The sequence below is a fragment of the Homo sapiens genome, chromosome 3 (assembly GCF_000001405.40).
Source record: "Homo sapiens chromosome 3, GRCh38.p14 Primary Assembly".
In the NCBI taxonomy this organism is placed as follows: domain Eukaryota; kingdom Metazoa; phylum Chordata; class Mammalia; order Primates; family Hominidae; genus Homo; species Homo sapiens.
Genome location: NC_000003.12, coordinates 116,736,001 through 116,749,123, shown reverse-complemented (window position 1 = coordinate 116,749,123; position 13,123 = coordinate 116,736,001).

Genomic DNA, 13,123 nt, shown 5'->3' with positions numbered 1-13,123 from the left:
ACAGGCTGTAAGATTGTCAGGAGATATTTTATGGTTTTAAAATACTTTACTTCTCTAGGCACAGTGTTAAATTCCAAGAAACCTTTTGGCTCTCTGATTATTCTTTTTTCATAGCAGCATATTTCTTTTTTTTTTTTTTTAAACTTTAAGTTCTAGGGTACATGCGCACAACGTGCAGGTTTGCTACATATGTATACATGTGCCATGTTGGTGTGCTGCACCCATTAACTCGTCATTTACATTAGGTTTATCTCCTAATGCTATGCCTCCCTCCTGCCACCACCGCACGACAGGCCCTGGTGTGTGTTGTTCCCCTTCCTGTGTCCAAGTGTTCTCATTGTTCAGTTCCCACCTATGAGTGAGAACATGCGGTGTTTGGTTTTTTTGTCCTTGAGATAGTTTGCTGAGAATGATGGTTTCCAGCTTCATCCATGTCCCTACAAAGGACATGAACTCATCCTTTTTTATGGCTGCATAGTATTCCATGGTGTATATGTGCCACATTTTCTTAATCCAGTCTATCATTGTTGGACATTTGGGTTGGTTCCAAGTCTTTGCTACTGTGAATAGTGCCACAATGAACATATGTGTGCATGTGTCTTTATAGCAGCGTGATTTATAATCCTTTGGGTATATACCCAGTAATGGGATGGCTGGGTCAAATGGTATTTCTAGTTCTAGATCCTTGAGGAATCACCACACTGTCTTCCACAGTGGTTGAACTAATTTACAGTCCCACTAACAGTGTAAAAGTATTCCTGTTTCTTCACATCCTCTCCAGCACCTGTTGTTTCCTGACTTTTTAATGATCGCCATTCTAACTGGTGTGACATGATATCTCATCATGGTTTTGATTTGCATTTCTCTGACGGCCAGTGACGATGAGCATTTTTTCATGTGTCTCTTGGCTGCATAAATGTCTTCTTTTGAGAAGTATCTGTTCATATCCTTCACCCACTTTTTGATGGGGTTTGATTTTTTCTTATAAATTGGTTTGGGTTCTTTGGATTCTGTATATTAGCCCTCTGTCAGATGAGTGGATTGCAAAAATTTTCTCCCATTCTGTAGGTTGCCTGTTCACTCTGATGGTAGTTTCTTTTACTGCACAGAAGCTCTTTAGTTTAATTAGATCCCATTTGTCAATTTTGGCTTCTGTTGCCATTGCTTTTGGTGTTTTAAACATGAAGTCCTTGCCCATGCCTATGTCCTGAATGGTAATGCCTAAGTTTTCTTCTGGGGTTTTTATGGTTTTAGGTGTGACATTTCAGTCTTTAATCCATCTTGAATTAATTTTTGTATAAGGTGTAAGGAAGGGATGCAGTTTCAGCTTTCTACATATGGCTAGCCAGTTTTCCCAGCACCATTTGTTAAATAGGCAATCCTTCACCCTTTCTTGTTTTTGTCAGGTTTGTCAAAGATCAGATGGTTGTAGATGTGTGGTATTATTTCTGAGGGCTCTGTTCTGTTCCATCGGTCTATATCTCTGTTTTGGTACTGGTACCACGCTGTTTTGGTTCCAGTAGCCTTGTAGTATAGTTTGAAGTCAGGTAGGGTGATGCCTCCAGCTTTGTTCTTTTGGCTTAGGATTGTCTTGGCAATGCGCGCTGTTTCTTGTTTCCATATGAACTTTAAAGTAGTTTTTTCCAATTCCGTGAAGAAAGTCATTGGTAGCTTGATGGGGATGGCATTGAATCTATAAATTACCTTGGGCAATATGGCCATTTTCACCATATTGATTCTTCCTATCTATGAGCATGGAATGTTCTTCCATTTGTTTGTATCCTCTTTTATTTCATTGAGCAGTGGTTTGTAGTTCTCCTTGAAGAGGTCCTTCACATCCCTTGTAAGTTGGATTCCTAGGTATTTTGTTCTTTTTGAAGCAATTGTGAATGGGCGTTCACTCATGATTTGGCTCTCCGTTTGTCTGTTATTGGTGTATAAGAATGCTTGTGATTTTTGCACACTTCATTTTTGCACACTTCATTGCTGAAGTTGTTTATCAGCTTAAGGAGATTTTGGGCTGAGATGATGGGGTTTTCTAAATATATAGTCATGTCATCTGCAAACAAGGACAATTTGACTTCCTCTTTTCCTAATTGAATACCCTTTATTTCTTTCTCCTGCCTGATTGCCCTGGCCAGAACTACCAACACTATGTTTAATAGGAGTAGTGAGAGAGGGCATCCCTGTCTTGTGCCAGTTTTCAAAGGGAATGCTTCCAGTTTTTCCCCTTCAGGGTGATATTGGCTGTGGGTTTGTCACAAATAGCTCTTATTATTTTGAGATACGTCCCATCAATACTTAATTTATTGAGAGTTTTTAGCATGAAGGGCTGTTGAATTTTCTCAAAGGCCTTTTCTGCATCTATTGAGATAGTCATGTGGTTCTTGTCTTTGGTTCTGTTTATATGCTGGATTACATTTATTGATTTGCATATGTTGAACCAGCCTTGCATCCCAGGGATGAAGCCCACTTGATCATGGTGGATAAGTGTTTTGATGTGCTGCTGGATTCGGTTTGCCAGTATTTTATTGAGGATTTTTGCATCAATGTTCATCAAGGATATTGATCTAAAATTGTCTTTTTTTGTTGTGTCTCTGCCAGGCTTTGGTATCAGGATGATGCTGGCCTCATAGAATGAATTAGGGAGGATTCCCCCTTTTTCTATTGATTGGAATAGTTTCAGAAGGAATGGTACCAGGTCCTCCTTGTACCTCTGGTAGAAATCGGCTGTGAATCTGTCTGGTCTTGGACTTTTTTTGGTTGGTAAGCTATTAATTATTGCCTCAATTTCAGAGCCTGTTATCGGTCTATTCAGAGATTCAACTTCTTCTTGGTTTAGTCTTGGGAGGGTGTGTGTGTCCAGGAATTTATCCATTTCTTCTAGATTTTTTAGTTTATTTGCATGGAGGTGTTTATAGTATTCTCCGATGGTAGTTTGTATTTCTGTGGGATCGGTGGTGATATCCCCTTTATCATTTTTTATTGCAGCTATTTGATTCTTCTCTCTTTTCTTCTTTATTAGTCTTACTAGCAGTCTATCAATTTTGTTGATCTTTTCAAAAAAACCAGCTCCTGGATTCATTGAGTTTTTGAAGGTTTTTTGTGTCTCTATTTCCTTCAGCTCTGCTCTGATCTTAGTTATTTCTTGCCTTCTGCTAGGTTTTGAATGTGTTTGCTCTTGCTTCTCTAGTTCTTTTAATTGTGACGTTAGGGTGTCAATTTTAGATCTTTCCTGCTTCCTCTTGTGGGCATTTAGTGCTATAAATTTCTCTCTACACCCTGCTTTAAATGTGTCCCAGAGATTCTGGTATGTTGTGTCTTTGTTCTCATTGGTTTCAAAGAATGTCTTTATTTCTGCCTTCATTTCGTTATGTACCCACTAGTCATTCAGGAGCAGGTTGTTCAGTTTCCATGTAGTTGAGTGGTTTTGAGTGAGTTTCTTAATCCTGAGTTGTAGTTTGATTGCACTGTGGTCTGAGAGACAGTTTGTTATAATTTCTGATTTTTTACATTTGCTGAGGAGAGCTTTACTTCCAACTATGTGGTGAATTTTGGAATAGGTGCGATGTGGTGCTGAGAAGAATGTATTTCCTGTTGATTTGGGGTGGAGAGTTCTGTAGATGTCTCTTAGGTCTGCTTGGTGCAGAGCTGAGTTCAATTCCTGGATATCCTTGTTAACTTTCTGTCTCCTTCATCTGTCTAATGTTGACAGTGGGGTGTTAAAGTCTCCCATTATTATTGTATGGGAATCTAAGTCTCTTTGTAGGTCTCTATGAACTTGCTTTATGAATCTGGATGCTCCTGTATTGGGTGCATATATATTTAGGATAGTTAGCTCTTCTTGTTGAATTGATCCCTTTACCATTATGTAATGGTCTTCTTTGTCTCTTTTGATCTTTGTTGGTTTAAAGTCTGTTTTATCAGAGACTAGGATTGCAACCCCTGCCTTTTTTTTGTTTTCCATTTGCTTGGTAGATCTTCCTCCATCCTTTTATTTTGAGCCTATCTGTGTCTCTGCATGTGAGATGGGTCTCCTGAATGCAGCACACTGGTGGGTCTTGACTTTACCCAATTTGCCAGTCTGTGTCTTTTAATTGGAGCATTTAGTCCATTTACATTTAAGGTTAATATTGTTATGTGTGAATTTGAGCCTGTCATTGTGATGTTAGCTGGTTATTTTGCTTGTTGATGCAGTTTCTTCCTAGCCTCGATGGTCTTCACAATTTGGCATGTTTTTGCAGTGGCTGGTACCGGTTGTTCCTTTCCATATTTAGTGCTTCCTTCAGGCATAGCAGCGTATTTCTGTTTTGTGGATAAAATGTTCTCTGGAATCTTGTTGAAGACAATTGTTTTACATTTCCTTTTTATAATAAGTCTTTTTTCCCTATGGTAATGTTTTTCTTCTTTATTCTTTTTTGGTTGTTTATTTTTTATTCGTATGTAACAGTTGGACATGTTTTAAGAGTACTTGTGATACTTTCATACATGTATACGATGTGTAATGATCAAATAGGTAATTAGGCTGTGCATCACCTCACACATTTATCTTTTCTTTATGTTGGGAATATTATAATTCTCCTCTTTTAGCTATTTTGATATATGCAATAAATTATTATTAACTATAATTTCCCTGTTGTACTGTCAAGTATTGGAACTTATTCCTTTTACACAACTGTGTTTTTGTACCCCTTAGTCAACTTCTCTTTACTTTCCTGCCCACTTCCCTTCCTGCCCCTGGTAACCACTATTCTACTCTCTACCACCATGAAAGGTCTTCAGTTGTTGATAGTGATTCTTCTCTCGGTTTTTGTCGAGGTCTTTGCACAAACTGATCACGGAAATCACACTGGTAATGCCAATTGAGTTTGGTTTAGCGAAAAAAAAAAAGTTTTGCCTCAGGAGAGAATGTTGGAGACATGCACGACAAGGGTGAATCTTAGGCAACAAAGTGTTTTTTTTTTTAAAAAAAAACCTTTTTATTGAATGATCTTAAACTCAGCTCCAGGCCACCATCCTGCCAGGTTGGTCAGGACTCTATCAGCACCTCAGTCATTCTGCGGGCTCATTTTCCTGATTACCTTATACTGCATAATATATTCTCTATATTTCTACAAAAATGGTTTTAATGGATGTCTAATATAGTTAAAGCATTCCTGTTTCAGATCCTCCAATAGCTATATATTGTCAATAAGATGAAATAAATGGTAGACTTTCAGTTTTTCTCCCAATAGCTGTCTTTTCTTTGTTCCTGGACCATTAGTTACTTATCTTCAGAGTATATTTTCTAGCCTCCCTTGAAGCTAGATCAGCCCCTTTGATCAAACTCAAGGCAGTGGGATGATAAATGGAAATGATGTGTACAAGTCAAGGTCACTCCGAGTACAGAGATATTGCTCTGTAATCTGGCCCCTGGTTACTTATCTATTCTCATGTCTTGCCCTTCCTGAAACTTCACATTTTAATAATATCAAGTAAGTTGTATTATGTTGTTGCCTTGCTACTCTATGCTTATCAACTTTTACTCTTTTTGCTCAGCTGATATAAAATACTCTTTGTCCCATTCTTCTTCAACTTTTAGAGCTTTATTTCCTCTAAGAAGTTTTTTTTTTTTTTTTTTTTTTTTTTTTGTCGTCTTCTTTTACCTTCACTCTAGTCTGGGTGAAATACTACCACTGTGAGCTTCCCCCATACCAGATATATTGACATTTCTTATTTATATATCTAGTTTTTCAATTAGGCTAAAAGTTCCTCAAGAAAGCTACTGTGTTGTATCCATACCTGCAACTTTAATACCTACCAAGTTACTTGGCACTTAGTCCATGCTAAACTGAACTGCTTCTTTTATTGACTCTGGCAAATTTTCAGGTGGCAGAGAGCCTGGGACCATTATGATTGGTTAAATACATGTGGCAAGGAGCTGTGGAGAATGACACCCTTCAAGAGGATATCAAGAGTAAATCTTTTTCCATTATAAAGAAAAATATCTTTGGTTATGTGTTTCCATTTCTGTCTGCATTTGACCTTCCAGGTGCATTCTCTCATTCACATATCTTGTTTCTCCCTTATTCTTTGTCCACATTCTCTTACTTTATTCTTCCTTTTGCAGAACATGCTGCCCTCACACTTCAAACTTGGATATTTCAGGTTTTCTTTTCATCACTGTTTCATGAAGTGTCACAATTCCACTGGGTCAGATAAAGCAATATAATTCTAATGTTATTTGCCTTAAGTCCAGAGGAGTGATAGGATTGGTTAGGTGACATTTTGTTGAAGACAGAGTAGGAGAAATGTTTGGGGGAAAAAATTCCCGATATGGCATAATATCATAATGTCCACTCATAATTGCTAAATGACAATTGTCATTTGCTTTTATATCAGATATCTAATTAATCAAACTTTCTGGTTAAGTGCCTCCAATTATTAACAATCCTGCTCAGAGTTAAGATTAGCATCCAAGGATTTTCCTCCATATTTCTTTTCAGAGGCAATGGAATTTACTAGTTTTTTAGCTCTTCAACTTTGGCTGATGGTTTTAGTGGTGGTTATGCTATCTTCAGTAGTTTGGGGATCTAAGGCATATCTTTATCTTCACACAATAGAGACTGCGTAAATCTAACTTTTCTATATATAAATTTTACAATAAAATTTTTAATTTACGCAACATTTACTTATTGAGAAACTGCTAAATGTATGCTTTGACTTATTCCATAAGTTCTTACTATTTTTCTCCAACCCTGCCTCGCCTTTTTTTTTTTTTTTTTTTTAATTCTTGTCTGGCAGTCTGCAGCTGTCCTCAGAGTCCCTGCTAAACTCCAGATCTCTCTCTCTCTCTCCCCCCTTTTTTTTTTTCTTCTCACAATGCGGTCTTGGTTATTTGACTTGATATCCTCAGCTCTAACTTGCTCATAAGTTATTGCCCTGGCCAGGCTTTGGGGCACACTACTTGCCTTAGTGATGAATGCAGAGGCTTATTCCTTCCATTCAAGGTTTGAGTTAGATTTTAGGGTTGAAGGTTTGCCTTTCAAAGAACAAGTCTTAACAGGGATTCTAATGCCTACAAGTCTCTAAACCTATGGAGAACATTTCCCTCTTTCCTGCATGCATTGAGATAAAACTCCTTTCTTTCCTTTTATTCCATTGCTTTCCCTCTTGTGTGGATCTGTAATGATTGCTGGAGTGCTGGGAATTCATGCTAATAATGAGTTCTCAAGTGCGACTTTTCCTTTTTCTTCTCCTTTCCTTCTATTTTTTTTTCCTTGAGTGTCTAGATCTGAAAAGAATAATTTATCAAATCATTTTTATTCAACTTTGGAGGAATAAGAAAGAGGAATGAGGAGAGAGAAGCCCTTTTGCAGTTTCAATTGCTTGCAGTGTATGCATGAGGCTCTCACTCAGCTTATCAAAGCTCACACAGCTGAGGCCCCGAGCTCACTGCTTGGTGTTGCCTCATCAGACTGGCTGGGCTCCACTGATGGACCAGATAGTGCCTCAGCTATCTGATGGCTCTAGTGCTTAGGAGGTTAATTCAAGTGATGAATTGGAAAATTGGGAAGGGTGGGAGGAAGGGAATAGGGGCTGCTTCCCAGGGTCTTTAGAATCATTAAAATTTTGTAAAAATTAAGGATTATTCCTCCCTTTTTCCTTTCTAAGACTTAATAAGTTTTAATATTTAAGGAAGAAAGTAACTTATTCCTTGGTACTAAGATGATAATAATTTGAATTAGGGTATATTGCTTGATTTACCATTATGATTTTCTAATACCTGGGAACATTTCTGCAAAATAAGTCTCTTCGAGGAAGCTAGAGATCCACGGAGGCATTTAAACTTACAGAAGAAAAGGCTGAGACACAATTAAGTAATCCAATTAAGGCATAATAGGGTGTTCTAAGATGATGGTGACAAGATAGTCACACTTTTTAAGAAAGCAGAATAGGAGGATTTACAATAAAGTACACTGCAAGAGAAATGGATGGGCAATTAGAGACTATGAAAACAAGTGGAATATAAAAATGGTTTGGGAGCAGCTTATGGAATCACTAGCAACAGAAGGACTGAAAAAGTGATACTTTAAAAAGTATTTTTTTATAGGTGCAAGTGTTGGTCAAAATTAGCCGGTACTTTTTTTTTTTTTTTTCTTCAAGAACTTATGTTATCTTTAGGAAGCACAGAATTTCTCTGTGGGGATATTTATATGACTGGGCAAGGACAAACAGAGAAAAGGCATACACTTGTCCACGTGCAGTTCTCTCTTTGTACTCAACAACATGTTCGTCTTCTTCTATGGTGGTTAAGAGCATCAACTTTGAAGCCAAACAATCCAGGGTCATATCCTTGTTCTACCACTTTATAGCTGTGAGGACTTCAGCATGTTGCCTAACCTCTCTGAACTTTAAAGTTCTAATCTGTAAAATTAGGATGATTATAATAACTGTATCATAGTGTTGTAATAAGAATGAGATGTGTTGATATTGTAATTTTGTTGGAATGGCACCTGGCACATAGTAAATCCTCTGTTATTTCGATAGTACAAAATAGATTAGTTCTTCCTCAACCTAACTCATTTGTAATGTAGGTATTAAACCCCAAAAGTTTCTACTTTCTTGTGTAGATGTGTTTCTGCTAACTCATCAATATCAGTAGTGCCAAGACCGTAGAGTGTGATGATGGTGATCATTATTACAATTATCTCTCTTCAGTGATATAGACACTTGAGTTAGGCCATGCACAAGAAGGCAGGCCAGGTGATTATGAGGTGTAATAGAAAGTGCTTGGATATTGGGGTCCAACAGACCTGGCTGAGTTCAATGTCAGCTTTTTCTTTGACTGTGAGTGATTTACTTAACCTTTTTGAGCCCCAGTTTTCTCAACTTAGAAAGACTATTTTGAGGATAAGGAAGAAGTTGGTGACGATTAGAAATGCAGTCACGAACATAGTGGACTCCTTTGTATAAAGAATCAGACAATGCATGCTTATCACTGCAGAATCTGGTATTATGGGTAACCATTAGGGGAAAGAGTTTTATCTGAAAGATTTTTAAAGTAACATGCTTATAACATCTTTTGAATAAGATAATTTATAGGTGTTATGTCTGTCAACCCACTTAATATATATTTCACATTTAAAAAAATTGAGAACTCTTTAGCTATTATTTCGATTAAATTGTTTAATTGGAGGCAGAATATGGGCTTATTGTTTCTCATTTGTATCTGATAAAGAACCTGTGTTTCCTGGTTAATTCAATTTAAAATAAATTCCATCACTTTAAATACATTAGGAGAAGGGGGAAAAGCCTTTCTCTCTTGAAAGCAACAATGGAGCAATCTATTATTAAATGTAGAAAATGATGCTAATGTAACCTGATGGCTGAGATTTCACAACACAAAAATCAGGAAATTCAGAGTTCCGTTTCCCACAGCAACCATAACTCCTCTCCCCTTGAGCATATGCCACATTTCATATTATCAAATCTGTACTTAGTTCTGAATTATTATATATGCACAATGGGGCCAAATTATAGTCACCATAGGCGCCAGAAATGTAAAATTCCTGACATCTGTGTACTTGAGATTTAAGTTTTAGTGGTGCTTTTCTTTTTTTCTTCTTATTTGTATCTTACTTTATATTCATTGTTTAAGATCCTATTTTGATGTACTGAAAATATTGTCATTATCTTCGACTTTGATTTTCTGCATATGATTCAATAAATGTGTCAGAAACGTGGCAGTAATTAATTCTATCTGCGAATGATTTGGCAACATACTATGTGCAAGACCCAATTCTGTGCTCTTTAATTGACGATTGCGCTCAGTGCTCAGGTCCCTCAGTTTGCAGCTTCCTACTTGGCCCTAAAAGCCATCAAGCAAGACTGACTACATTTGGCACCACAGGTAACAGTTTTTGTTTGAAAGTAGTATTTAGAAGGACTCTCCATAAAATTTGCTATTATTAATATGCACAACCCATGCCCTATCCAAATGTATTTATTTGATTAAGAAAAATACAACTAGCCCTTTTATTATTAAATTACTTAAGTATATACTTTTCAATCCTTCTAAACTTTCTTCAGTTCATGTAGTTAAAACACCAAAAAAAAAGATCCATAATAAGCAGTATTAGTCACTATAAAAATCAAATTCTAGTTTTTAAAGGTGTTATTTCAGATCAGCTATTTGGTACTAGATAGCAACCCACAGAGATGCCTGGCCTTAGTCTTTTGCTATCAGGGGGCCTGGAGAGAAAGGAAGTTACTAAAATAGCCAGGCATTTAGAATTTAAAAATCTTATGGATCATTGGATTAGAAGTTCTGCCTCATGGAATTTGTCCAAACCATCTAATCAGACAAGAGCACCAAGATATATATGCAGGAATAAGTATCATAGCATAGACTGTAATATTAAAAAGCAGAGAGAGAGAAAAACTAACAAAATATTAAGGTATTAGCACTGATTGATTAAATACTGATATAACACCATGCTAAGCGGCACTTAACAATTATGATTTAGGTATATATTTATAATTTATCATGAGAAATGTTTCATAATACATTGTTAAATTGTTGTAAAAAATACAAATTCCAAAGCCTGAATAAGTACTGTGATCTAATTTGGGAATACGGTTATGTATGTAATTTATATATTTTATATATATATGTATATGTATATATGTATGTATATATATGTATAGAACATGAAAAAAATTGTCAAGAAAAGTGTCCAAAATGTTGACAATTATTATCTCTGAATGCTGGAATTTCAGATAATATTTTTTATTATAATTTATCTGTAGAGTTTGAGTTTGTTTTAATAATTATATATAACTTTAATTATCAGAAAAATACATTAAAATACATTAAAACTGTATATGTTTACATATAGACATAAATATGTATGCATAGATATATAAGGCAATTTGATAGCTCTCGTTGTACTAGAGCAAATACACAGCAACAGCAAACTCCGACATGGTCAGAAGTCACACAATTCAACACTTGAGGCTTTGCTTTCTGACCAGGTCATGAGAATATGTTAGTGTCAAGTAAAAATATATAGGTGGGGATTCAGGGATCATAGAGTTAAGGCCCAGATTTTCAAGATAAGTGACACTTTTAGAAGAGGCCGAATAGAGAAGGACCTGGAAGTGCCGGGTATTTACTCACAGTTTGAGTTAAAGGGCACTGTGAACATGTGGGGTTGGGAAGATGCAGTGGTGGGTGCTGCTATCAAAGCAAATGTCATGGGTTAGAAATGAGCAGAGGAAATCATTTTAAAGGAACATGGATATGGTGGGAAATAAGTATAGATTTTAAGGAAGTGTCTTGGATTGATTAGTAGGAAGAGTGGCTGTCAAAAGCATAGCCCTAGAATATAGTTCAGTCAGAATTTATTGAATGCTTATTTACCAAAAAGCCAGCCAAGCACTGAGGAAGATATTTAGCAATCAAGAGCAAAAAAGGGAAGACAGCCTGACAGAATGAAGAGAAAGCATCTAATAAATAAGCATTAAGCCCATGCCTAGAACACCAAGAAGCAAGACTGAGCCACCATGGCAGAAAATCTTCCATTGAAATTTTACACTGTCTTTCTTTTTTTTCTTCCCACTGCCATTACCCTAACCTGAGCTTTTGTTTTCCTTCTTAACTCATTCATGCAAAATTTTTGTATATCTGCCATTTATCAGAGACTGTGGCAAATATTTGCATCATGCTGACAAATAATATCCAGTCCTGCCTTGGAAGGTTATAGTCTGATGGGAGAGTTGGAGAAGTGAAAAGGAGGTCTTCAAGCATTATAAGTACAATGACATGAAGAAATACGATGGGGGCAACTAATTCAGACTGTTGCCTTGGGATAGATGTTTTGTTTTTTCTATCTTACCCCTTCAGCGGCCTCCTAATTCATAGACCTTGCCTCTTCTCCTTTTCAAGCATCTTAATGTTGATATTAGATTCAAAAGTTCTTAACAAGGAATTTTATCCTGTCACTTCCTTGTTCATGAACTTATAATGAGTCTATATTCTCGTTTTTATATATTTTAAACAGTTATGGTCCTTCTACAGTCTCACTGTTTTATATTTCTATTCAAACTCATAGTTCTTCATTCACTTAAGTGTTTGCATTCCCCACTATTGAGGGGCTTTCAAGTTGCAAGACAAATTATATATATTCCCTGTTGTCTAAGAGCTCAAGGTCCAACACAGGGTAGAAATATGTAAAAATGAATACAATGAATGTATAGTGCTGTGACTCAGTACGTATAGGAAACAGTAGAAATGAGCATTGTGAAGTCCATCTGAGAAAAGAACAATATAACTATTAGAAGAGGCAGATCTTGGGCTTGGTCTTAAAAGATGAGTTGGAGTGTGCAACTTGAAGAATGGTTTTCTTTGTTAAAGATGAACATACGTAGGAGCATTAATACATAATGAAACTTGTGATTTGGAAAAGAAGTTTACATTGAGATTGAGCTCAAAATAACAGAAAAATTAGGCTGTAGAGATGTATAGAGGCTGAATCATAGCAAGGTCTCTTTATCACACCTATTAAATGTTTGTAGTCATGACCTTTACTAAAAGGTTCTAAGAGAGAAAGGGACATGACCAGATTTGGATTTTTGGTGGTATGGAATATAGACAGGATGTGTTAGTCCATTCTCACACTGCTATAAAGGACTACCTGAGACTGGGTAATTTATAAAGGAAAGAGGTTTAACTGATTCACATTTTCACATGGCTGGGGAGGCCTCAGGAAATTTACAATCATGACAGAAGGGGAAGCAAACACGTCCTTCTTCAAATGACAGCAGGAAGAAGAAGTGCAGAGCAAAGTGAGGGAAAAGCCCCTTACAAAACCATCAGATCTTGTGAGAACTCACTCACTATCATGAGAACAGCGTGGAGGTAACCATCCCCATGATTCAATTACCTCCCACCAGGTCCCTTCTATGACACATGGGGATTATGGGAACTACAATTCAAGATGAGATTTGGGTAGCACCCAGCCAAATCATATAATTTCACCCTTGGCCCCTCCCAAATCTCATGTCCTCACATTTCAAAACACAGTCATGTCTTCTCAACAGTCTCCCAAAGTCTTAACTCATTCCAGCATTAATACAAAAG